Source organism: Homo sapiens, chromosome 14 (genome assembly GCF_000001405.40).
Source record: "Homo sapiens chromosome 14, GRCh38.p14 Primary Assembly".
Classification (NCBI taxonomy): domain Eukaryota; kingdom Metazoa; phylum Chordata; class Mammalia; order Primates; family Hominidae; genus Homo; species Homo sapiens.
In genome coordinates, this window is record NC_000014.9 from 50007760 (window position 1) to 50033620 (window position 25861).

General features: G+C 46.6%; 1 long non-coding RNA gene across 1 annotated transcript in view, besides 3 other annotated features; it reads right to left on the minus strand.

Annotated features, from left to right (window-relative positions):
• The window catches only part of LINC01599 (long intergenic non-protein coding RNA 1599), a 97731-nt gene that overhangs the window by 447 nt on the left and 71423 nt on the right, over nucleotides 1-25861 (minus strand). Inside the window, exons 7-8 of the long non-coding RNA NR_131171.1 lie at nucleotides 3175-3267; nucleotides 2847-2926 (exon numbers count right to left, since the gene is read on the minus strand). This is a non-coding gene — a long non-coding RNA (long intergenic non-protein coding RNA 1599). The remainder of the gene's footprint in view (nucleotides 1-2846; nucleotides 2927-3174; nucleotides 3268-25861) is intronic.
• Nucleotides 1599-2099: an enhancer, noted in NCBI's record as "H3K4me1 hESC enhancer chr14:50476076-50476576 (GRCh37/hg19 assembly coordinates)". NCBI's record gives its function as "activates a minimal SCP1, AML or CMV promoter by ChIP-STARR-seq in naive H9 embryonic stem cells {active_cell/tissue: H9 hESC(naive)}" and the evidence as "EXISTENCE:reporter gene assay evidence [ECO:0000049][PMID:30033119]".
• Nucleotides 13610-13669: a silencer, noted in NCBI's record as "silent region_5716". NCBI's record gives its function as "represses an Ori minimal core promoter by ATAC-STARR-seq in GM12878 lymphoblastoid cells {active_cell/tissue: GM12878}" and the evidence as "EXISTENCE:reporter gene assay evidence [ECO:0000049][PMID:35858748]".
• Nucleotides 18167-18383: a silencer, noted in NCBI's record as "fragment chr14:50492644-50492860 (GRCh37/hg19 assembly coordinates)". NCBI's record gives its function as "represses an EF-1alpha promoter that drives an FKBP-Casp9 reporter gene in an ReSE screen in K562 erythroleukemia cells {active_cell/tissue: K562}" and the evidence as "EXISTENCE:reporter gene assay evidence [ECO:0000049][PMID:32094911]".

Sequence of the window (25861 nt, forward strand, 5' to 3'; positions counted from 1 at the left end):
ACCTGCACATCCCGCTGCACTGGATCTGCAGGGAGCTGGGGCTGCCCTTGGACGCCTCAGGCACAGGCCCTCATCCTCTGCCTAACTGCTTTTTACACCCATCCCTTGAGTCCAGGGAGATTTTGCCACAATTTCAAAAAAGAAATGATTATTCAGAAGGCATTCTTCTATATATTTCCTTTTTTTTTTTTTTTGAGATGGAGTTTCGCTCTGTCACCAGGCTGGAGTGCAGTGGCATGATCGGCTCACTGCAACCTCCGCCTCATGGGTTCAAGCGATTCTCCTGCCTCAGCCTCCCGAGTAGCTGGGACTACAGGTGCATGCCACCACGCCCAGCTAATATTTTAATTTTTAGTAGAGATGGGGTTTCACCATGTTGGCCAGGATGGTCTTAATCTCTTGACCTCGTGATCTGCCCGCCTCAGCCTCCCAAAGTGCTGGGATTACAGGCATGAGCCACCGTGCCTGGCCACATTTCTGTATATCTTGCAAGCAGACACACTGTCTGTCTTTTATTTGATCATCTTTCCAAGGATGCTGGTATAGCATGTATGCTTGGAAAATAGAGATGCTGTTTCTCCAGAGAAAGGGGGAGCTTGCTTGCATTCTTCTATGTAGTTCTAAGGCCCCTGCTCCACTGTACAGCAAGTGGCCACACCCTTAGTGTCTTCCTTGCCTAACCCAGACCCTTACAGCACTCAGCTTGGAAAAGACCCTTGCAGCGCTCAGTTGGGTGCCATGATTATGCCTGTAATCCCAGCACTTAGGGAGGCCAAGGTGGGTGGGTCACTTGAGCCTGGGAGTTTGAGACCAGCCTGGGCACCATGGCAAAACGCCATCTCTAAAAAAAAAAAAAAAAAAAACCACAAAAATTAGCCAGGCATGAGGATGCACCTGTAGTCCCAGCTACTGGGGAGGTTGCTGCAGTGGGAGGATTGCCTGAACCCAGGGAGGTTGAGGCTGCAGTGGGCTGTGATTGTGCCACTGCACTCTATCTTGGGTGACAGAGTGAGACCCTGTCTCAAACGAAAACAAAATTTCAAAAAAAAAAAAAAGAATGCATTCTTGCCCTTAGAGGCTCCATCCTCACCTCCCTCTTCTGGTTTCTCTTCCTCTGTCTCTGCTGTGTGTGTCTTTAATAAAGAACACTGAAATTAGTGAGCCAGGTTTGCCTCCTGGGCAGGAATTATGAAATCCAGGTGGCCTTGGTTGTAATAGGGGGAAAAAAAAACCTTTATTTTGTCTGCTTAGTGTTGTCCTGGCTTTTCTTTGCATATTCCGTCCCCCTACCCCCAAACTCACTGTGCTGTTCTGGTGAGGCTGACCCCACCCAGATTCAGGACTGACCCAGGCCTGGCCAATCAACAAGGCCTTCAGGGACTGGTACGTGTCAGTTAAATGAGTCAGTCCCAGGACGCTTTGTATATATATGTATGTAATATTTGTAACTATTGGGAAAGTGTCTAGCTTTCCACAGGAACTTCTAACCTGTTCCAGTGTGACCCTAAGGATGCCGGTAGCCATCTTGCCACTCTCGGGAGAGGAAGAGCCACAGAGACAAGGCAACTCTGAGAGCTGAGTCCTGATGACCGGTCGAAGCACCCGAATTCAGCAGTATGTGAAGCCCCTGAACTTCCAGTTATATGTGCTGATGAATTATCTTTTTTGCTGAAGTCCATTTGAATTGGAGTTTATATCATTTGCAATTTAAAGAGAACTGATCACCAGCTGGCTCAAGTCTGAAGTATAAACTGGTTTCTAGCAATCAAAAGCAATGTGTGACCAGCACAGTGGCTCCAGCCTGTAATCCCAGCACTTTGAGAGGCTGAGGAGGGAGGATCACTTGAGGCCAGGAGTTTGAGACCAGCCTGGGCAACATAGCTGGACCCCATCTCTAAAAATACGTAAATTAAAAATAATTTTTTTTTTTTTGAGACGGAGTTTCACCTTTGTCACCCAAGCTGGAGTGCAATAGCACGCTCTCGGCTCACTGCAAATCTCCGCCTCTCGAGTTCAAGCAATTCTCCTGCCTCAGCCTCCGGAGTAGCTGGGATTACAGGCATGCACCACCACGCCCGGCTAATTTTTTTGTATTTTTAGTAGAGACAGGGTTTCACTACGTTGGCCAGGCTGTTCTCGAACTCCTGACCTCAGGTGATCCGCCTGCCTCAGCCTCCCAAAGTGCTGGGATTACAAGCATGAGCCGCCACACCCAGCCTAAAAATAAAATTTTTAAATAAAATAAAATTTTTAAAAAGCAAAGTATTTCCGCCGGGCATGGTAGCTCATGCCTGTAATCCCAGCATTTTGGGAGGCCGAGGCAGGCGAATCATGAGGTCAGGAGATCGAGACCATCCTGGCTAACACGGTGAAACTCCGTCTCTACTAAAAATACAAAAAATTAGCCGGGTGTGGTGGCGGCCACCTATAGTCCCAGCTACTCGGGAGGCTGAGGCAGGAGAATGGCTGGAACCTGGGAGGTGGAGCTTGCAGTAAGCTGAGATCATGCCACTGCACTCCAGTGTGGGCAACAGAGCGAGACTCTGTCTCAGAAAAAAAAAGTAAAAAAGAAAAGAAAAAAGAAAAAACACTGCCTTCCACTTTTTCCCTCTTTATTAAAACCATTCCCCTTCCTTCATCATAGCTAGGTGATCTGTCTCCACTGTGCTTTTAGCAACACGGCCTTGAAAAAGAGACTCTGAGAGACTCACTCCAGTCATGCAGAATTTTGGGACAATAGTGAGGTTTTCTCCCCAGGGATCCCTTCCATGTTTGAATTTCCCCACTCCAAGAGTTGTTCAGCAGAGGCCATGGGGACTGGCATCTGGATCCCGACCCACACTTACTCCAAGTTTTCCACTTTCGGAAGTCTCCCAATCTTCAGGCTGAAGTTGACTTCAGTGGGGCAGGCAACTGCATGCCCTACCTAGGTGCCAGTGAGAATTGGATTCAGCTTTTAAAGACCCTACTTTCTGCCTCCAAATGGTCTAAACAAAGATAGAAGTGTATTTCCTTCTCAGGTGAATGAAGTCTGGACTTAGTCTTCCTGAGGTTGTCATGAACCAGGATCTCTTTATCCTGCTTTCTCCCCATCCTCGGCGTTTGGCATAAACCTTCCATGACTCCTTTCCCTCCCCTCTTCTCTCCCCACACTGCACATGCCATGTCACTTACTTCATTGGCTGGAACACGGAGACTCCACCAGCGAGGGAGGCTGGAAAAGGCATTCTTCATTCTGAGTGCCAGTTTCATGTCGGGGGCCCATCACTAAGGAAGAAGAACAGAATGGATATTTGGGGGATACTAGGAGTTCTCTGACCTCTCATGCCACTCCGTGATGTGCCGCAGCAAAAATCCTCACTGGAATAGCTCCAGTGCTGGTGATGCCAATGAAGGCCACTGTGGAAAAGAAAAGAATAATTAATTCCAGACACATCAGTAAAGACACCCTCCTGTTATAAATGCTGAGAGAATGGCTTGGGACCACCTGGGGTCGTTCTCCATCCTGACCATTTAGAGATCACTACCCTCAGGGAGTAAGGTCTCAAATCCCATCTCAATGCCTCATAGACAGCTGGACTTACAAGGATTTAGGCCCACAGAAACATTTTAGGAAACTTCCAGGGAGTCAGAGATCAGGCAAGGGAGCTGCGTCCCTGCGTGACCCCATCTCAGCTGAGATGAGACAATAGCGGCTTTCTTCGTGAAAAACTAAAGTGGGAAATGTTTCTTGATATGTTTCACTACCAGTCTATATAGAGGGTCCGTTTATGAATAAGAGAATTGTGGAATTCCACACAAGGTTGTTGGGTCTCAGAGCTCCTTCTGCAGCTCAGGAGCACTGTAACTGGATTCTCCAAAGCAAAAACACTGCTTTTGCAGGTCATTAACAACCATGTGACAAAACTATCTTCAGGGAAGGAACCCAACCTCAACACCTCAACATTCACTAGTTAACACTTGCAGAGTGCTTAAAGTGCTGGTTGGAGCATGGTAGGGGCTCAGCAAATATTAGTGAAACAAGTGCCTGGACATTCTGGGTAAGAGAAGCCATTATTATTAGATATTTATGATGCATTTACTATGTATAAGGGATATAAGCACTCTGAAGGATCACAGAGATAAGACATTGTCCTTGCCCTCAAGGAGTTTACAATCTAATAAAGAAAATAAGAGGCTGGGCACAGTGGCTCACGCCTGTAATCCCAGCACTTTGGGAGGCTGAGATGGGCGGATCACAAGGTCAGGAGATTGAGACCATCCTGGCTAACATGGTGAAACCCTGTCTCTAATAAAAATACAAACAATTAGCTGGGTGTGTGGCAGGCGCCTATAGTCCCAGCTGCTCAGGAGGCTAAGGCAGGAGAATGGCGTGAACCCGGGAGGCGGAGCTTGCAGTGAGCCGAGATCATGCCACTGCACTCCAGCCTGGGCGACAGAGCGAGACTCCGTCTAAAAAAAAAAAAAAAAAACCAAAGCAAAAAATAATCAAGGTAAGAATCTGGGTTCCTGCCTCCCACAATTTATAATTGTAAATGTGTTTTGTTTTTTTTTTTTTAGCAAGTTTATTAAGAAAGTAAAGGCATAAAGAATGGCTACTCCATAGGCAGAGTGCCTATAATTGTGTCTTTGAAGAGGCTGGTTTTAATTTTTATTTTCTTTTATTTGTTTAGTTTTAGAGATGGGTGTCTTGCTATGTTGCTCAGGCTGGTCTCAAACTCCTAGCCTCAACCAGTCCTCCTGCCCTCCCTTCTAAAGTGCTGGGATTACAGGCATGAGCCACTGTACTCAGCTAAGGCTGGTTTTAAAATCCTCTCATTTCTCCTAGAAGATGGTGAGGATGTGATGTGGGTCACGTGGGCCAGGCTCGGGGGGTCATGGGCAGCACACTGTCCTTGGAAACAGCAGCAGTGGTGCCTCCTGTTTGTTCCTGTCACCTCTTGCTTCCTAGCTGAGCCTCTGCCTCAGTGTCCCCTCTCCAAGATGAGGCAACTGCATGTGTGTCCTGCAGCTCCCTCCCTCCCTTGCACTCCTAGCTGCTAGAAGCAGTCATATCTGTGAATCACATAGAGCTCCCTGACATCTGGTCTTACATCAAATCTTTCTTGGCAATATAAGAGTGAAACATCCAGTTTTTCAAACTGGCTGTTTTGTTTTGAATTCATCTTCAGATGAGCTTTTCTCAGGAGAAATGAGGAGTGGGGGACAGAGAGCAGAATAAAATGCCCACAGGAGAGTAAAACAAGATGCCAAAAGACCAGGAGGAAGACCACAGATTTCCAGAGCCTGATCCTCTGCCACCAGACCCTGAGGGCAGCTCTTTGATTTCTGGTCACTCGTGTCCTCCATTCCATGCCTTCGGCAGCCACCACCACAACCCCGGGGTCGGGCACCTCCACAGTGTACAGCAAGTTTACTACCTAGCAAAGTATGGCCCAGATCAACGGGGGCTTCAAAACCATCCACACTTACGTTTCATTCATTCATTTGCTAATTTATTCATTCTATATTCATTCAACACTCATTGAGCACCAGTAGGTGTCATCTAGAAGTCTTGTCTCCATTTGCTATCAGCAAGGGTATCACCTTTTCTATACAATGAGTCTCATTTCCCAAGAGTGGTTTTGGATTTGAAAGCAGATGTTACTCAGAACCTTTTCTGAGGGCAGTGTCTCAGCTCCCCAGGGAGGCCTCCAGTTCTCCAAAGGAGCCTTATACATCTTTGGCCCAGGTTAGCATCCATCTCCCTGCACATCCTCACAGATATTAAAAAGGATCAAAGCATCTTTGGACAGTCCCGGGTTGTCTCCAAGGAAATCGGAGGCACCTGGATGTAACTAACAAAGACTCTTTGTGTCAGTGGGGCTGAGTCACCTGACAGGTCTGAAATGTAACTTCCTCCTCTGGGGCCAGGAGAATGGAATCCGAAAGGCTAGAAGGATAGATCAAAATGAAGATAAAATTTTAAAGGAATGAAAGTAGAGTTTTGTACTTAGTGATTAAAAGAAGAAAAGAAATGACGAAGGAAAAAGGAATCCCATTTGACGGTGTTGTATGTGAAACTGACTTAGAGATTTTGGTTGACTGCAAACTCAAGGTGGACTAAGGCCTGATGTGGCAGCTGGAAACCTGAATGGACTTTGATTGTGTCACAGAGTCAGGAGTGTCTAGTGAGGAGACAGTAGCCCCCTGGGTTTGTCACAGGTCAGGCCATTTGTAAAATATTAGGCTTAGTTGTGGGTCCATGTTTTAAGATACATTTTAACAAACTGGAAGGACCCCCAGAGAAAGGTGGTATAAGTGTGGGAACCACACCGCACAAGAAGCCACTCATGTTCATCTATAAAAATGATTTACGGACATGACAACCTTCTTAAAATATCTGATTGTCAAGATGTAAAAGGGAGCCTGGAGAACTGAAGGCTGAGAAGGACTTCATTCTCAGATTGTGGGAGAGACCTTCTGACATGGATTTCTACAACCTCTGGCCACTTCATCTCACAATTTAATCTGCATCTTCCTCTTTCCCTTCATGTCCTCCTGTCTTAGAGGAAGAATCATTCCTCCTCCTTCCAGAGGCTGACCTCCTCCTCTCCCATCTCCTGCAGAACATGCCCTGCTAATTACCATCCCCTCCAGAATCCTTTATTTTTCTTTCTTTCCATAAGCCCACAAATACGAGGGAGATGATTAGTTAGGTACTTATTACATGCCAGGTGCATAGTAATTAATCTGCCTTATCTTGATTAATCCTCAAACCAATCCAATGAAGTAGGTGACATCCTCTCCATTTACAGATGAAGAAACAGAGGTTAGCTGGGTGTGGTGGCTCATGCCTGTAATCCCAGCACTTTGAGAGGCCAAGGTGGGCAGATCACTTGAGGCCGGGAGTTTAAGACCAGCCTGGCCAACATGGTGAAACCCCCTCTCTACAAAAAATACAAAAATCAGCCAGGTGTGGTGGTGCACACCTGTGACTCCAGCTACTCAGTAGGCTGAGGCATGAGAATTGCTTGAACCTGGGAGGTGGAGGCTGCAGTGAACCGAGACCCACCACTGTATTCCAGCCTAGGCAACACAGCAAGACTCTGAAAAAAAGAGAAAGAAAGAAAGGAAGGAAGGAAGGGGAAAGGAAAGGAAGACAGAAAGGGAGGAAAGAAGGGAGGAGAAAGAAAGAGAAGAAGGAAAGAAAGAAAGAAGAAAGAGGAAGGAAGGGAAAGAAAAGAAAGGAAGACAGGGAGGAAGGGAGGGAGGAAGGAAGGAGAAAGAAAGAGAAGAAGGAAAGAAGAAAGAAAGAAAAGAAAGAAAAAGAAAGAAAAAGAAAAAGAAAGAAAGGAAGAAAAAAGGAAGAAAGAAAAGAGAAAGAAGCTGCAAGGAGTTCAGTGACATTTCCAAGCTCACCCAAGTGAGCTTGGCCAAGTTTGAAACTTGAAGAGTGCTTAAAGTTCTGGATGGACTCAATTCCAGGTCCATCTGCCATTAAAACCCCCAAGCTCACTTGCTTCCAGGCTTTAAACGTGCTCCTCCATTCCCAGCCAAGTGCCTTTAAAGAAGGCTTTCTCTGTGGATCTACTTTCTCACCTCTCATCCACTCAGCCTGCTGCAGCCTGCTTTCTGCCCTCACCCTCTGCAGAAACGGCCTGCAGAAGGTCATCAGTGACCTAGGTTAATCCCATCAGCCTCTCCTCAGTTCTCACCCCACGTGGCCTTTTGTGGCATTGACATTGCTGGCCATACTCATCTTCCCCTACCCTCCACCCTCTGCCACATCTGGCTGAGCCCCTTTCTCTCACCACTTCACCTCTCATCCTATAATCCCCACCTCAGGTCCCTCCTTCCAGGTGTCATTGGCCCTTTTAAAGGACCTGAGGACTCAGCTAAAGTTGGAAATCAGGAATGTGTGTGTGGGACTTCCTGGTAGGTGTAGGGGTGCTATGGGTCTAAATGTGTCCCCCTGAAATTCACATGTTGAAGCTTAAATGCCAATGGAATAGTATTAAGAGGGGGGCCTTTTGAAGGTGATTAAGTCATGATTCCTTATGAATGGGACTAATGACCTCATAAAAGAAGTCCTGCGAAGCCTCTTTTGCCCTTCCCTCTCTTCTGCCATGTGAGGACACAGCAGTCATCTCTGTCTTCCTCCTCTGCCATGTGATGACACAGGAAGAAGTTGCCATATGAGGGACAGGCCCTCACAGACACTGAATCTGCTAGTGCCTTGATCGTGGACTTCCCAGCCTCTAGAGCTATGAGAAAATAAACCTCTGTTCTTTATAAATTACCTAGTCTGTGGTATTTTGTCGTAACAGCCCAACAGACTAAGACAAGGGGTAAGATATGGGGTGCAGTTCCAATGACCCAACTGTCCTCACACCTATATTGGATGGAGTCATAAAGGGTGGGGAAGAGTTATAGGTCAGAAACAAAGGGTCCAGAGATGGGGATTGGTATTGTCTCAAAAAGCAGAGACAGCTACCTGGGCAGAAGGCAGTGGATAGACAGTGAGATGGTGAAGTCCAAGGAGAAAGCAGACTGAGGCCCTGGGAGAGGGTGGCCATGATACAGAAAAGGAATTACAGATGTCACTGGAATTACAGATGTCAAGGAATTAAGACTCTAGATTGTTGGTCGGCTCATTGACCTAGACTCTGAAATCCCCTAAAATCATGACAGCAGGTGGATTTCACTTCCCTGACTTGTGTCCACATCTCATGTGAAGCTGTGTCCTCAGCAGCGATAAGATTTTGCATTCCCTAGGGATTATCTTCCATTTTTCCAGTTTGCCCAGAGCTCCCCATCCCTACTCCAGTTAAGCAGGACCACGGATGCAATGCTGTACTGAGTAGGGTAGCTCCAGGGGTGCCCTTCCCACAGAATACCCATTGAGGGTCCTGAGGCCACTCAGATAAGCACTTATTGAAAGAAGAGATGAATTCATTTCCTGTGTGTCTTTTTTTTTTTTTTTTTTTTTTTGAGATGGAGTCTCTCTGTGTCGCCCAGGCTAGAGTGCAGTGGCACGATCTCAGCTCACTGCTGTAAGCTCCGACTCCCGGGTTCATGCCATTCTCCTGCCTCAGCCTCCCGAGTAGCTGGAACTACAGGCGCCCGCCACCATGCCCGGCTAATTTTTTTTTGTATTTGTAGTAGAGACAGGCTTTCACTGTGTTAGCCAGGATGGTCTCGATCTCCTGACCTTGTGATCCGCCTGCCTCAGCCTCCCAATTGCTGGGATAACAGGCGTGAGCCACCACGCCCAGCCTCCTGTGTGTCTTATTCCAATTCAATTCAGCAGCATTCTTTGAACCCCTACTGATACCAGGCTCTATGTGATGGATTAAGACAGCTCACAATGAGAAGAGGGGCAGAGGGATAGCCTGCTGCCTGGGCGCTGATGTCCTCATTGATTCTCAGTTAGGGCAAAACCTCAGGGAGTTCCATATGTAGCCCTGGGCTCTCTCTTCTGGTCTCAGCATTTGAAAACCTCCTCGGGAACCCCAGCAACTCTTTAGCTTAATAAATGAGAGGAGGATGGTCTTGGTGAGACCGCTGAGGAATATTTGACATCGCTCAGGTCCTGGCCCACACCCCCCCGAGTCACCAGGTGAATGAAGCAGAAATGTGTCTGCCTTGGGCAGAGCCATGGCTGCTTTCTCTCTTCATGGTCTCCAAATTGAGGGGGAGGGGAATTGACAGCTTTTCCCTTTGGCTTCACTCTCCCCTCATTTCTTTCTGCAAGGAGTCTCAGGATCTCTTTTCATTTTCACATAGAAACAACCCCTGCCTCCAAACCCTTGGAGTCTTTCTCAGAGAATTCCATCTTGGCTGTTTCCTTCAGCATCGACAAAAGCTGGACCATCACAAGGGGCTTCTCCTCCTTATTTTTGAAAGAAGAGCACAAGAAAAGAGCCTTCCAAAGTGAGCCCCAAATGCTGACTTGCTGCTCCCCCATTAAAGTCGGTGTTGGCCCTCACTCTGTCTTATTTTAAGCAGCAGTGCTTCTGTAGAGCAGAGCTAAAGATTCAGCAAGACAGGATAGGTCTTTTATGGCTGCCCCCAGGTCTGCCCTCAGAGACTTCCAGAAAAGCCTTCCTCTCTGTCACTTTGCCTGATTCGCCATTAGCATTCCTGCAGCAGGTCAGCAGGTCTTGGGTACCCAAGTTCCAGCTACATGAGCTATAAAATCCCAAGCAGAACTGGAGCATCAAATTGCTGTGGGTTCATTTTTGGCTGGCAGGCCTCTTCTATTAGCACCATAAACACCACCACTATCCCCACAACACACACAGAGAAATACAGCCTGAGGATAAGAAGGCACATTGAGGAGCTGAGGGCGCTGGTGAGGAGGGGACTGGTCCACTAGCCATGACGAGGAATCCCTTTACAAAGGGGCCAGCTTTGATGTGGGAGTGGAGCAGGGAAATCTAGAAAGCCTCCATCAGAGACGGAATCCAAGACCTGCAGTCCCAGGACTCTGGTTCTGTTTAGACTCTTAGGTTATTCCTCCTTATGGGAAATCCTGGAACTGGACCAGCTTCTGTGATAACCTGCAACCCTGGGGACACATTCAATTTGCAGATGTGTTGCACAATATTGAGCAAAGGTTGATTCAACATTTATAAGCTGGGAGTCGCAGATTCATGGCTTCTTTTGGAGAAACAGTAGGTATTGGTACCCCAGGCCCTCGTGGCCAAATAGACTGGGCCTTTTAAATAGAGTGAATGACTCACAAGTTTGCACTTTCCACCGCTCCCTGTGACAGCCCTCATAAGAGGCCAGGTGATCCTGACCTTGCACGTGCACTGCTGTTTATTCTTATAGTGGAAAAACGTTTCTCTGTATACTCATTGCCATCAAACGTGATTTCCCACACAGGACTTCCCTGACTCCTGAAGGTATTTGATTTTGCAACCCCTGATCTAAAGCGCCTTGATTAGCCTGGATTGTTTCAATCACAAGGGATGGAAGATAAACCCATCCAATTTAAACAAAAATAAAAAGAGAGGCTGACAGGCTCCCGGTGCTGGGAAGGATTCCTGGGCAGTCACAGAATGGAAGGAGGGACTGCAGGAATCACAGAAAATGACCAGTGAACTCTGCCAGGATTCTGTCTCCAGCTCTCCTTCCTGCCTGTCTCTGTCTTTGGATGTTGGCCTCATTCTCTTTCGGCAGAGACGCCTTTGCCACGTGGTGAGGATCATGGCCACCAGAAGTCCCAATTTAGAAATCCCAGTAGAAAAAAGAGCTTCCTGTCTCCAGTTCTGAAAATCAATCCCAGGAAAGGATGCTGGCCTCACTTGGGTCATATGCTATAGAGCTGAAGGCTATTTTCTTTTCAAATCAAACACTTATGTAGCTAGTCACTGTTCTAAGCAGGTCACGAATATTAACTTATTTAAACCATATTTTAAAGAGCCTATGAGTTAGGTGTCATTATTGCCTCCATTGCAAATAAAGAAAGTGAGCCCCAGAGATGTTAAGTGGCTATCCCAAGGCCACAAAGCTATTAATTAATGGAGTTGACATTTGAAGCCAGCCAGCCTGGCTCCAGGGACTATGCTTGTACCCCATTGTATGGTTGTGCAGGTTTGTACCACATAACTCCAGGAAAGCAACCACTGAACTTACACAGAGCATGACCTGTACAGGTGTTGTGGAGAGCCTGCACGTGCCTGAAATTTAATAACCAGTCCTAGAATTTGACCTGTTTTGGATATTCCGGCTCAGTTTCTACATCTGTAAAGTGAGAGGATAAGCGTTATCTTCTGGGATTGTTAGGATTTGGGGAGATAAGTAACCATCTAGCATGGCTCTCGGCACAAAGAATGCTCTAGAAAAGGTCAGCCATTAAAGACTTAACTTTCTTCCTGGCTCTCATGGGCAGGTGTCATTCCCAGCCCTCTGCTCTCACTTATGACAACATCTAGTCTGTACCTCTGAGAATTACACAGGCCCTGCCACCTCTCCTAGTTTAGCCTTGGCTTTCTAGGATGAAACATAAGCCCTGCTCCCTGTTAAGGAGGGTTGCAAAGGGCAGGGATAAGGCCAGGTGCTGAGTATGTGGGTGGATGGGTGGGTGGTGGCTGAGGGGAATCAGGGCAAGTGATGGAAGAACACCAGGTGCTTTCATGATGAACTGTGATGTGGGTGAATGAGATGAAATACAAAGGAAAAGGAGCAGAAAGAGAGGCAGGGAGAATGCAACTACCAAAACAAGTAAAATTCTGTGACTGATCATTGAGCTTTACAGTTAAAGGAAACTTAGAGGTGATCCAGTTGAGAGGCTATTCAACCTTTTTTTAAAAATAAGATCTTACGCAGGACCCAATTCTGCAAAATGGATAGAGGCAAGGTGCCCTGGATGGGTGAGGGCAGGGGACTTAGGGAGCTGTTAGTTTGGCTTTCCTGTTGCCCTGCACGCAGGGCTCCTATGAACAAAGTTTGAAAACCAGACCTGGGTCAATCCAGGATCCAACACCACCACAAATATTACCCACTTTGTTTGTACTCTACAAATAAATTATGTCATTATTCATGCCACAGCTTAATATCTAAAGAAATGGCCATTTTATTTGCTCATGATTCTGTGGGGCAGCCATTTGGGCTGGGCTCAGCAGGGTGGTTTTCTAAAGTTACTTCTGCAGCCACTGTCATCTAGAGGCTTGAATGGGGCTGGATCTTTTAAGATGACCTCACTCACATGTCTGGGGGTTGGTACTGGCTGTTGGCTGGGTTTCTCTCTATGTATGGTCTCTCATCCTCAAAGAGGCTATTCTGGGATTCTTTACATGTAGTACCAAGTTCTAAGAGGGCAAGAATGGAAGTTGAAAGGCCTCTTGAGCTAGAAAGTCACATAGAATCACTTTTGTTACATTCTACTGGTCAATGCCAGTCACAAGTTGCTTTTCCCAGAATCAAAGAGTGGAAAAATAGACTCTTGATGAGAAGAATGTCAAAGTCACATGGAAAAGAGTTGTTTGTACAGGAATGGGAGAATTTTTGACTATTTTTTTTTTGCAACCTACCACATTGCCTTATTTTCTATAACCTTTTTTTAATAAATTTGGCATGTATCTGGGTATACAGATTTATAGTATGTGTGGGAGAATGTGGCAAACTCTGCTAGTTCTCTACTCATTATTCATTCTCCATTTCTTTTCTTTTTTTATCTTTCTCCATTTTTTTCTTATTAACACAACCTCAGTTATTTTTTCTCAGGGTGGCAATGTGCCCAGTTACAAATATTCATATCCCCAGATTCCCTCACAGCCAGGGTCACTGCATGACCCAGTTCTGGACAATGAATGTAACTAGAAGTTTCCTGGGCAGGGGCTCCAGGAAGGCTGTTAATTTCTGTATAAAAGGGAACAGACTCAGTAGCACTTGCCTTTTTTCTTTTTCCCTTTTTCCTTTCTGTCTCATTCTTGTCTGGATCACATATGCCACATTTAAGGGTAGAGCAGCCATCCTGAAATCATGAGAATAATGAAAAACATGGCAGAATAGAAGAACTGAAGAAACCTGATCTCTAATGGCATCACAGGACCCCTATTCTGGTCCTGGACTCCCTACCTCTGGGCTTCTTTTTGTCTAAGAAAAATAAGCCCTAATTGGTTAAGTCACTAGAGTTGTGGTTTCTTCTACCGAAACTGGAAGTGATGAGGAGACGAGGCTGAGAAAGAAATCAGGAGGCTGACTGCGAAGATCCATGACTATTAAGAAGACACCATAGCTGCTATGAAAACTGAAATGAGTTTCTGCCTTTTATGTGCATAGATGTTTGTGTGTATTTGGATGTGCATGAGTCTAGACAGATGTGAGTTTGGGTGTGGGGGTGGGAGTGAATGTGTGTATGTAAGGAAATGCTATAGTTGTTGCAAAATTTAAAATCAAATCAGAGTCCAGATTTTCAAAAACTGAAATAATAAGTTAAAATGAAAAGGTAAGTTTAGTGGTGATGACTATAAACCTTGTACTTGGGAATTTTAAAATATATCAGGATGGGAGGGTCTAGTTTCACAGCCTGGGGGTTTGAGTTGTCTGCAAAGGCTCAGAATGAGCTCACAGAGTGAGCTGTTGTGCCAAGAGCTGTGGCTCGCCCTCCAACTGAAGTGTTCATCTAGGATCCAGAGCACAGGGCAGAATTCCCTCAAGCTCTGTATGGTCAGAGCTCTGGGAGCAAGCATCATGTTTATCCCAGGACTGGTTAATGGAGCCCATCCAGAGGAAGACCGAGATGCCATCCAGGGATCTGGGAAAGTTTAAGCTGGACAAGAGAAGACTTGGAGGGGCCTGATAATAACTGTAATACGCGTTGATCATTATGTACAAACTATGCCTAAAACCTGGTTTCTTAAACCAACAATAACCGTTCATTTGTTCACAGTTCTGCAGTCTGGGCCAGGGAGCTTTCCTCTGTGCCATGTGGTGTCATGGTGTTGGCTGGGCTCCTTGATAGATCTGGGGCCAGCTGGTAAGTCAACTGGGGTTGGAGGAGCCCTGATGGCTTCACTCACACATCTATGGCCTCAGCTGGAATGGGCACATCCCTTCTCATGTTCTTTCACCATTCTTCTCCACAGAGCCTCTCATACTCAGGGAGGCTAGCCTAGACTTCATGACTTCTCAAGGCAGCAAGACAGTGAAAGTGGCTGCTACAGGGCTCTAAAAGCCCGGGCTCAGAATTTCTGTTGCTTTCCACTGGACTGAGAAACTCACAAGAGCAGCCAAAGTAAGAATGTAGAAAGTGACTACACAAAAGTACAAATTCAGGAGTGTGACTGATTGAGGACCACTTTGTGGCAGTCTATCAAAAAACTAGTATCTATAATTTCTATGGTCTTTATAGTTCACAAAGGACATTTACTTGCACTAACTTAATTTTATCCTTACCACTAAACTGAGATATGGTTAGTGGTGTGCTGGTAAAACAACAAACAAACAAAAAGCCCTCATTGGTAGCATTTGCCAATTTCCATGGTATAAATATCCTACAGTACCAAGTTCAAGAGACCAATATGAGATCACTCATTGCAGAAGTATAGATACACTGCCTGCAATGGGGGGTAGTATCTCTACTTGCAAATGAGGTTATGGGACTTTTTCAAATTCACACGCAATCAATAGGGGCGGAGCTGAGACTCACCCAAGACCCAAACTGTATGCTTTAGTCACAACATCACCTTGCCTCATAGCAATTTTCTTCAAACATCTGAAAGATTGCTATAGAGAAGGAGTAGCCCTATGCTAGGTTGCCCCAGGAGGTAAAGTAAGAGTTGTTTTGTTTTCTTTTGTTTGAGACGGAGTCTTGCTCTGTGGCCCAGGCTGGAGCGCAGTGGCACAATCTCGGCTCACTGCAACCTCTGCCTCCTGGGTTCAAGTGATTCTCCTGCCTCAGCCTCCTGAATAGCTGGGACTATAGGCACGTACCACCACACCTGGCTAATTTTTGTGTTTTTTTTTTTTTTTTTTTTTTTAGTAGAGACAGGGTTTCACCGTGTTGGCCAGGCTGGTCTTGAACTCCTGACCTTGTGATCTGCCCACCTTGGCCTCCCAAAGTACTGGGATTGCAGGCGTGAGCCACCGTGCCTGACCTGTAAAGTAAGAGTTAATACAAATGAGTTTCAGAGAGGCTGACTTTAGTATAAGAAAGTCAATATGAAAATCAGTTCTACAATAATAGAGTCATCCAAAGAGAATGAATTGCTTTGTATCATCATGGTCTTCCTATCATGAAGGTGTTTGTCAGAGGCTAGACCCTTGAAGATTTCAGAATTAACAAAGAGGTTAAATTAGATGGCCTCTAAAGTTCCATTTATCTCTTGGATTCTGGTTGTTTAAGAGCGTTTTGAAATCCAGATCCGGAATCACTTAATGTCCTTTTGAGACTGAAGAAGGCAAGTGAAGGGAAGAGAAAGGAAGGGAAGAAAGAGGGAAGGTGAGTGTTAAATTTTGGGAGGAGCTTGGCCAGATGAGAAGTCCCAGTCCTGGAGAGCTAGCTGTCCTGAGTAATTCAGGGATGGAACATGGGTCTTCACGAGGGTAACTGACTCTGCTCCAGCTCGCAGAGCCATATGACTCATAATATGAAAGCACAACCTTTATTTTATCCCAAGCCAGTTCAAATGGCAGCAGAGAGCCCCGATCTTGTGTCTGAAATGTTAGGATGTTCTCAGTGTAGCAGGATGCAACCGCAGATCTTAGCTGTTTACAAATCCTCTTTCTTTCCAATCAGGCTTCTTTATTTTTTCTCAGAAGGAAACCTTGCTGAGGATTTTGGCAGTTAACTCTCTTTGGCTCAAACAGAACCCAACTCCTCCTACCCCACACTGCCCCAGCTCAGCTCTGCAGGGGTCTTAGGGGATCTGCTTGGAGTCTGGCCATCTCCCCGCTTAGCCCTGGGGGCTTCCTGGGCAGTTACAGGTTGCGGTTTTATACTGAGAACTACAAAACTGGAAGCTTTCCTGAAGGAGCAGCTCAAAACTTGAGGATGAAATCTCAGCATTTGAGAATAAACACCCAGGATATTTCCTGGGATGACTCAGGCTTCACCAAACACGCCAAGAAATTACACGGGTAATTGTAAGGCTTTGGTGCTTCCAGGGAATGCTCAAGATGGTTACTGAAGTAGATAACTCATCTCTGAGAATAAGTCATTCTCCTTAAAAACTGCAAAGTCCATGCATCTCCAGTTCTGAGGAGCTGGTATTTCCCTGTGCCAAACTCAAAGAAAGGAAGGCAAGTTGACTGAGTGAAACCCGGCCTTTCTCTTTCAGCAGGCAGCTCCCAGAGCAGAAGCAGCCCCATCAGAGATTTTCCAGCCTGGTGTGGTGGCTCCCGCCTGTAATCCCAGCACTTTGGGAGGCCAACGTGGGAGGATCACTTGAGCACAGCAGTACAAGGCCAGCCTGGGCAACATAACGAGACTCTGCCTCTAAAAAAAATATTTTTTAAGTTGGCCAAGCATGGTGGTGTACACCTGTAGTTCCAGCTACTTAGGAGGCTGAAGTGGGAGGATGGCTTGAGCCCAGGGATTTGAGGCTGCAGTGAGCTATGATTGTGCCACTGCACTCCAGCCTGGGCAACAGAGCAAGACCCTGTCTCAAAGAAAAAAAAATTCTAAGGGCACTTTAACATCGAGGTTCCCTGGTGCCCATTCAATAATATGCTCCGTGAGGTCCAGCAGATCCCAGTTACCAGTGGGTAGAAGGATCTGGAAGGGTTGGGCAGGATGTGAAATAAGAAGCAATGATGGTCTCAAGAACTGCTCAGGTGCTAGCAGTTGCTAGGATGACGGTACTCCACTCTGAAAAACATTTAGGCAATTAGGAAGCCCCATCATTTTACACACAAACTGGTCCTGGCTCCTGTATACCAGGAGCGCCCTCTCCCCAGGCTCGGTGTGCCCTCACTTATTTCTGTTTGCTTGTGCACAGAAATAGATCTGGAAACCTCAGGGAACAGGGCAGGAGCTATTAAATTAGAGCTCACTGTTCCCATTTCCTCATTCAGCAAACGGCAGGACTTGGGCATCCAGCCTGGTCCTGGAGCTGTGGAATCCACTAGGACTGGGGCTTGGAGCCTTGAGCAGGCTCAGGGTTCAGGGCTCAGGCTGCTTCATGGGGCTCAAGTTTCTGTCTCCCTATTCTCTTCCCCTTCTTCACTCCTCTCCTAATAACCTCTAAGTGCAAATACCCCAGACTTTAGAAAACTTAGAGATCGTACTCGTCCAAATACCTGACTTTACAGGCAAGGCCCAGAGATGTTGACTTTTGAAAGACACTCATCCCGTTAATAGAAGAGCTGTTCATTCATTAGCCAGGTCATACCACTAAACTTTTCATTGCATGATGCTCTCCCTCGCCTTCTCTCCTTTCTGAAACAGGCCTCCATGATGGCCCCCAAGGTCCCTGCCTCCTGGAATTCACACCCTTGCACAGCCTATGCCCACATCAGTGTTTTCTGTGTCACCAGAAGAATGTAGCAGAAATGATAGAATGTCACTCCTGAGATTAGGTTATAAAGGACTATGGCTTCTGTCATGGACTCTCTCTCCTTCTCTTCCTCTATCTTTCTCTTGGATCACTCTGGGAGAAACCAGCAGTCATGTCATGAGACACTCAGGCACACTGTGAGAGGCTCAGGTTGTGAGGAACAGATGTCTCTGGCTAACAGCCAGCAGGGAGGTAAGGCCTGCCAACAACCACATGACTGAGCTTGCAAGCAGATCCTTCCCCAGTTGAGCCTTCAGATGACACCAGCCCCAGCCAGCAGGTTAACTGCAACTGTGTGAGAGACCATGAGGCAGAACTGCCAACTAAGCCCCAGATTCTTAACCCACAGAAACTGTGAGATCATAAATGTTTGTTGTTTTAAGTTGCTTAGTTTAAGAATAATTTGTAGCCGGGCACGGTGGCTCATGCCTGTAATTCCAGCACTTTGGGAGGCTGAGGTGGGTGGAACATGAGGTCAGGAGTTCAAGACCAGCCTGGCCAAGATGGTGAAACCCCATCTCTACTAAAAATACAAAAATTAGCCAGGTGCGGTGGCAGGCGCCTATAATCCCAGCTACTCAAGAGGCTGAGGCAGGAGAATCATTTGAACCCAGGGAGCAGAGGTTGCGATGAGCTGAGATCAAGCCACTGCACTTCAGCCTGAGGGACAGAGCGAGAATCCATCAAGAAAAAAAAAAAAAAAAGAATGATTCGTTACATAGCAACAGAAAAAAACACTGGGTTTTTTTCTTGGCTTTTTTTTTTTTTCTAGGCAAACAAGAAATCCCTGCATCCACATAGCTAGCCAACAAGGCCTTGTCCTATACCACTTTCAGGGGTGAAACTGGTGAATCAGAATAAAGAAAGCTTCCCAGGAGGCCTGGGGCAAGTGCCTCCTTGGCACAAGACTTAGTGATCTTTCCAGGCCTAAGGGAGAGAATTCCAGTTGGTGGGCTGCTAGAATACACCAGCTTCCTTTATAGAAGTTGTGGCCAGTGCAAATGTTAACCAAATAAGATGCGTAATGTATGAGCCTTATAACACTTTACAAATGGAGTTCCTTGGCTGGGTGCAGTGGCTCATGCCTGTAATCCCAGTGCTTTGGGAGGCCGAGGCAGGTGGACCATGAGGTCAGGAGATCGAGACCATCCTGGCTAACATAGTGAAACCCCATCTCTACTAAAAATACAAAAAATTAGCCAGGCGTGGTGGCATGTGCCTGAATAGCTGGGACTCCAGCTATTCAGGAGGCTGAGGCAGGAGAATCGCTTGAACCTGGGAGGCAGAGGTCGCAGCGAGCTGAGATCTCGCCACTACACTCCAGCCTGGGTGACAGAGTGAGACTCCGTCTCAAAAACAAAAACAAAAACAAAAGAAATGGGGTTCCTCTTTGGTGGCTGTTCTGTAACTTAAGGGGAGTAAGTTGACTTCCCATGACTCTGGCTTCCCAGTTGGGATGGAATTTCCATATGATGTTTTCAGAGGCTACAGTAATGGTGGAACCTTCACTCACTATGTCCTCCCCATCCCTGCTCACCCCTATATTGGTCCAGCCCTGTCTGCCCCACACACACCTCCAAAGAGAAAGCTTTTTGAAAAGTGCCTGTGCAGAAAGCATCCTACAAATGCATACATTCCACAGAACATGGTCACACGTGCTCTTTCTGACACACTTAGTCATTGGTGGGTCCAGAGCTGCAGGGTCCTTAAGCAACATCCCCTATCCTGCTCATCTATGTGCCCTAAGTTGAGCTCTGTCTTGTTTTCTCTGCAGAAAACCTGTGGCTAGAAGCAAAATTTGGCCTTTCAGGTGCCCAGCATCTGCTTCCTAAAATACAGCTAAACTAGGTTAACGCTTTTTTCTTGACCTTGAAGTGGAGACTCAGAGCCTTTGGGAACCTTCACAGCTTCTTGTTTTAAATATCCAACAGGAATACTGCTTTACCATCCTTTCAGCGGGGGGATTTCAGTTGAATATCCCGGGACCAGACACACCAGAGAGGTAGCACCCATTGGACCTCTTAGGCCAGGTGGAGACAGTGAGAGCTGCTTAGGCATTCACTCAGCGATGCCAGTATGTCTTACTATACAAAACAGTGCTGAGTTAATTTCACACAGCTGGGGGAGGACTGGAGGTGCTTTTGGGGCCTATTGTGTGTGAGCCAGCAAACTCATCTCTCCAGCTGTTCCTTGGTAGAAGTAGAAGTAGAAGAAAACGAAGAAGTTGGAGCCAGAAGTCAGTTTCTGCCAACGGGAACAATGGGTGCAATTGTGCATCTCACATAGCAGCAAGGAGTATTAAACAGAATTATGTACACACTGTTACTACCATGAGAACCTTGCCATGGGAACTTCCGGATGTACTTTTTTGGAATCCAGGGGATCTAGGAAGACCATTCCAGAAAAAGAGATTCCATAGAAATGTCAGGGAGTGGCCAGTTCTTGGATGACCTCTCCAAGCAAGAGAAAACATAAATGTGTACTTTAGGAGTTTCAAAAGCAATGAAGATCTTTCTTAGTGCAAAAGCCCTGTTTTCCCCTTAATATTAAAGATAGTCTTGGTCTTATTTCTGGGAAGTTTCCAAGGACAGAGGCTAAACTGTGACCAAACTCACAGGAAAGAGACCCTCAGAGCTGGGAAATGATCACTTCAAATGGTTTCTTGCCCCTTGCCTTGAACTGCGTTCAAGCTAAACCCTGCAAAATCTCCACATGAGGGACTTCTCCAAAGGAAGACGCAGGTGGAATCCCAAAGGCAATGTGGTGATTGAGGTCTCTGAGCCTGAGCTAAGCCATCATAACCCCTATGACATGCATGTATACATCCAGATGGCCTGGAGCAACTGAAGAACCACAAAAGATGACATTCCACCATTGTGATTTGTTCCTGCACCACCCCAACTAATCAATCGACCTTGTGACATTCCCCCCCGCCCCCCTCCACTGGACAGTGAGTCTCATGATCTCCCCACTCTGGACCTTGTGACCCCCGCCCCTGCCTGCAAGAGATAACCACCAGCTTTAACTGTAATTTTCCACTACCTTCCCAAATCCTATAAAACTGCCCCACTCCTATCTCCCGTTGCTGACTCTTTTTTCGGACTCAGCCTGCCTGCACCCAGGTGAAATAAACAGCCTTGTTGCTCACACAAACCTGTTGGTGGACTCTTCACGGGGACCCACGTGACAGTGGTAAGAGACCTGCCTCAGTCTCTTGAGCTGTTCACCTCAGAAGAGTTCCCTTGCTTCTCTGATCTTCTGTTTCATCTTCTCGGCAATGGAGATGACACCTACCTCATGGATTTTTTTTTGTGAATTTTTTCTTCTTTCTTTCTTTTTTTTTTTTTAGACGGAGTCTCGCTCATCACCAGGCTGAAGTACAGTGGTGCGATCTTGGCTCACTGCAACCTCCACTTCCCAGGTTCAAGCATTCTCCTGCCTCAGCCTCCCGACTAGCTGGGATTACAGGCGTGTGCCGCCACACCCGGCTAATTTTTGTATTTTTAGTAGAGATGGGGTTTCACCATGTTAGTCAGGCTGGTCTCGATCTCGTGACCTCGTGATCTGCCCGCCTCGGCCTCCCAAAGTGCTGGGATTATAGGCGTGAGCCACCGCGCCCAGCCAAATTTTTTCTTCTTTATTACTTAATTTTATTTTTCAAAAACAGAGATGGGGTCTATGTCACCCAGGCTGGTCTCGAACTCCTGGGCTTAAATGATCTGCCCACCTCAGCCTCTCAAAGTGCTGGTACCACAGGCATGAGCCACCATGCACTGCCTTTTGCAGTGAAATTTTAACAAGAGTATGAATAAGGTTTAAACACTGAAAAAATAAATCATCTCTGAGTTGCATTTAGTTGTGCCGGACCCACCACATTAACAACCTAAGAGAGCTCTGCCCCGTGCCCCATGCCACACGAGCCCTCATCCTGGGCCTACCTGGCTGGCTGCTCTCCCGGATGATGGGGACTCTGCTCAGCGATCTCAGGTGGCAGAGCAATTTGTCCCAGGGTCTGCCCCCAGCAGTAGAGTGATGCCGTTGGGAGATCTTTGTTTTTATTCCCTCCTCTTCCTTCTGTCCATCTAGGATTGAGGGTCCTCTTCGTGGCCTCTCTCCTCAAGTGTGGTGCTCGTGCTCCATTTCTCACAACCCATTTGGATATATTTATAAACCAAAACACAGTTTCCATAGTCTGACTCACCCAGATCTCTTTCTCTAGCCCTGAGCCCAATCCCAAGTGCCGGCGGGAAATGACTAGCTACACGACCACCCCACCACTGATTCCATTTGTCTGAAAGTAAACCTTCACCTCAAAGTGGTTCCAACTCCCAACTATGACAGACTAGTAAATAAGGAATTTTTTTCATCCTTTACTCTCCTTTGTTCCCTATTTCAACCTTTTCTGGTCTGAATTGCCCCCACAACATGCGTATGTTGAAGCCCTTACCCTCAATGTGACTATATTTAAAGACAGGGGCTTTAAGGGAGGAAGTAAGGCTAAATGAGGTCATAAGGACAGTGTCCTAATCTGATAGGACTGGGCTTCCCTTTTTAAAAAAGACTTAATTAATTAATTAATTAATTTTGAGATAGGTTCTTGCTCTGTCATGCAGGCTAGAGTGCAGTGTCACTATCTCGGCTCACTGCAAACTTCACCTCCTGGGTTCAAGCAATTCTCCTGCCTCAGCCTCCCCAGTAGCTGGGGCTACAGACATGTGCCACCATGCCTGGCTAATTTTTATTTTTTGTAGAGACAGGGTCTCACTATGTTGCCCATGCTGATCTCAAACTCCTGGCCTCGAGTGATCCTCCCACCTCAGCCTCCTATAGTGCTGAGATTACAGGTGTGAACCATGGTGCCTGGCCAGGACTGATTTCCTTATAAGAGGAGGAAGAGACACCAAAAACCTGTCGCTCTCTTTCTTTGTACACACAGAGGAAAGGCCATATGAGGACACAGCAAGACGGTGGCCATGTGCAAGCCAGGAAGAAAGAACTCACCAGAAACCCACTCTGCCAGTGGCATCTTGATCTTAGACATCCAGTTCTCAGGACTGTGAGAAAAATAAGTGTCTGTTGTCTAAGCCACCCAATCTATAGCATTTTGTGATGGCAGCTTGTATTAGTCCATTTTCATGCTGCTGATAAAGGCATACCTGAGACTGGGCAATTTACAAAAGAAAGAGGTTTATTGGACTCACAGTTCCACGTGGCTGGGAAGGCCTCACAATCATGGCAGGTGAAAAGCACATCTCACATGGTGGCAGAAAAGGAAAGAGGGCTTGTTCAAGGAAACTCCCCTTTTTAAAACCATCAGATCTCATGAGAATTATTCACTATCACAAGAACAGCATGGGAAAGACCTGCCCCCACAATTCAGTCACCCCCAACCAGGTCCCTCCCACACTGGGAATTCAAGATGAGATTTGGGTGGGGACACAGCCAAACCATAATCACAGCTCAAGCAGAATAACACACAACCTGTTACCAAAACTGGCTACCTCTTCCTTTACAATGGCTCTCAGAGTCTCCTCCTTCTTTCTAGATCTTCTCTTGTTGCCTGCTTCGTGTCTTCCTTCCCTGACACCTGGATTCCTGGTCCCACTTCTCATTACCGCTTCACTGCCATCCTTCTCTCCCATCTATCTGATATTCTAAAAACACAACATGTTCCTTGTCTCAGTCAGGATAGGCTAGGTTATGCTACAGTAGCAAATGACCCCAAAATCTCGGTGGCTTCACACAACAAAGATTGACTTATTCGCATCATGCATCCATCATGGACTGTCACGATTGAGTTCTGTCTCTGCCCCAGGTTGTTTCCATTCTGGGACCTGAGGGGATGGAGCAGTCCCTATGTGGGACTGTGTTGTTCTCGTGGCAGAGGGAAAAGGGAACATGGTGAACCATGCAATGGTTATCCATTGCTTTTGCCTAAAATGACACACATCCCTTCTACTCATATTTCATTGGTAAAAGTTTCACACTTCCAAGTGTGATATCATCTGGGTAGGAATGTAGAATCCTTCCATGGGGAAGGGAAACAAATAATTTTGAAAACTGCAACAGTTTACCACCATAGCCATTCCTGCTTGTCAGCTTCCTCTTCTCTCCTATGATGTAAATGCTGTGTGTTGAAGCCCTGGCCATCTCACTGCCCTGTGAATTCCACTCTTTCCAGCTCAGAACGATTCTCTTTCCTATGATCTTTAGTTGAGATTGTCATCAAGAACCCCCATCCCGGAGTTGTTTTAGGTGTCTAGCTGCCCAGAGCCCTTTAGGTGATCTTGTGATTACTCCTGGCCACATCTGACCGGACTGTCAGGAGGGACAAGTGACCAAGGATTGCTAAAGCACAGGCTCACAGAGGCCTAGGAGCTAGGCCAATCAGAGCCTCTCCTGGGAATTAGAACTACCAAATACAGAAAGAATGAACCACTTAGGGTAGTAGTTGAAGCTGAAAGGATGTCTAGAGGTGGAAAGAGAATCCTGGCTGGTGAAGTTATGTGTAAGTTGAAATTAGGAGAGAACAGGAGCTGAATGAGCAGAGGAAGGGTCATTAGAGACAGGAGCAGGGGACAGATGCACAGAGAGAGCAGGGATCTTGAGGGAGGGGTGAGATGGAGAGGCCTCCCCAGGCCTCGGAGCTGTCTCCATGACAGCACCAACCACTTGCACTCCTACATTAAATCCCTCCTTTCTTGAAACATGTGGAGGGGTCTCTGTCCTTACGATCGGCAAATCCTCAGTAAAGCCACTTTCAGTTTAGAGAAACCTCAGTTGTCCACTTGCTTCACATAGATTTTGACCTTCCCATTCAGACTTTAGGCTCCTAAAAAGCAAGGCTCATGTTTGTGTTGTCCATGAGCCTCCCACAGCATAGGCCCTAGTACATGATTCACCACCAATTTCACGTACTTTTTTTTTTTTTTTTTGAGACAGGGTCTCACTCTGTTGCCCAGGCTGGAGTGCAGTGGTGTGATCTCTGCTCACTGCAATCTCTGCCTCCCGGATTCAAGCAATGCTCCTGCCTCAGCCTCCTGAGTATCTGGGATTACAGGTGCCCACCACCACGCCTGGCTAATTTTTGTATTTTTTCAGTAGAGTTGGGGTTTCACCATGTTGGCCAGGCTGGTCTCTATCTCCTGACCTCAGGTGATCCTCCCACCTTGGCCACACAAAGTACTGGGATTACAGGCGTGAACCACCACACCCAGCCCAATTTCACATACTTTTGCATCATTATTGTCATCATCCTCTTTGTTACCAAGCCTAGAAAATCAACTCAAAGCATTTTTATTGTTGAACAAACAAAAGAGAAAATGCAAATGTCCTTACCCAGAAAACAGTCTCTATGCTGACTTAGCACACATTTCTGGGACCTCTGTAACTGACGTGGTATGGATCATGGGCACGGAGTGGACTTTTCAGAATTGCTGAAGCCCAGGCTCCAAGCCTCTCATTCAAGTTCCCCAGAGTAAATTGCTAGGCCTCAAATGCAGCCTCTTAAAAATGGGATTAACATCTGGTTATGGTAAGGAATAAATAGTAAAAATGAAGAACCGTCACAGTACAAGTGGCACAGATGCTTAGTAGCAACTGAGTCTTCATTTCTGCTTAACAAAATGCCCCATGTAGGCTGGGCATGGTGGTCCACATGTGTAATCCCAGCACTTTGGGAGGCCAAGGCAGAATGACTGCTTGAACCCAGGAGTTTGAAACTAGCCTGGGCTACATAGTGAGACCCCATCTCTACAAAAAGTTTTAAAAGTTAGCCAGGTGCAATGGTGCACATCTGTGGTCCTAGCTACTCAGGAAGCTTGGGTGAGAGGATCACTTGAGCCTGGGGGTAAGGCTGCCATGAGCTGTGA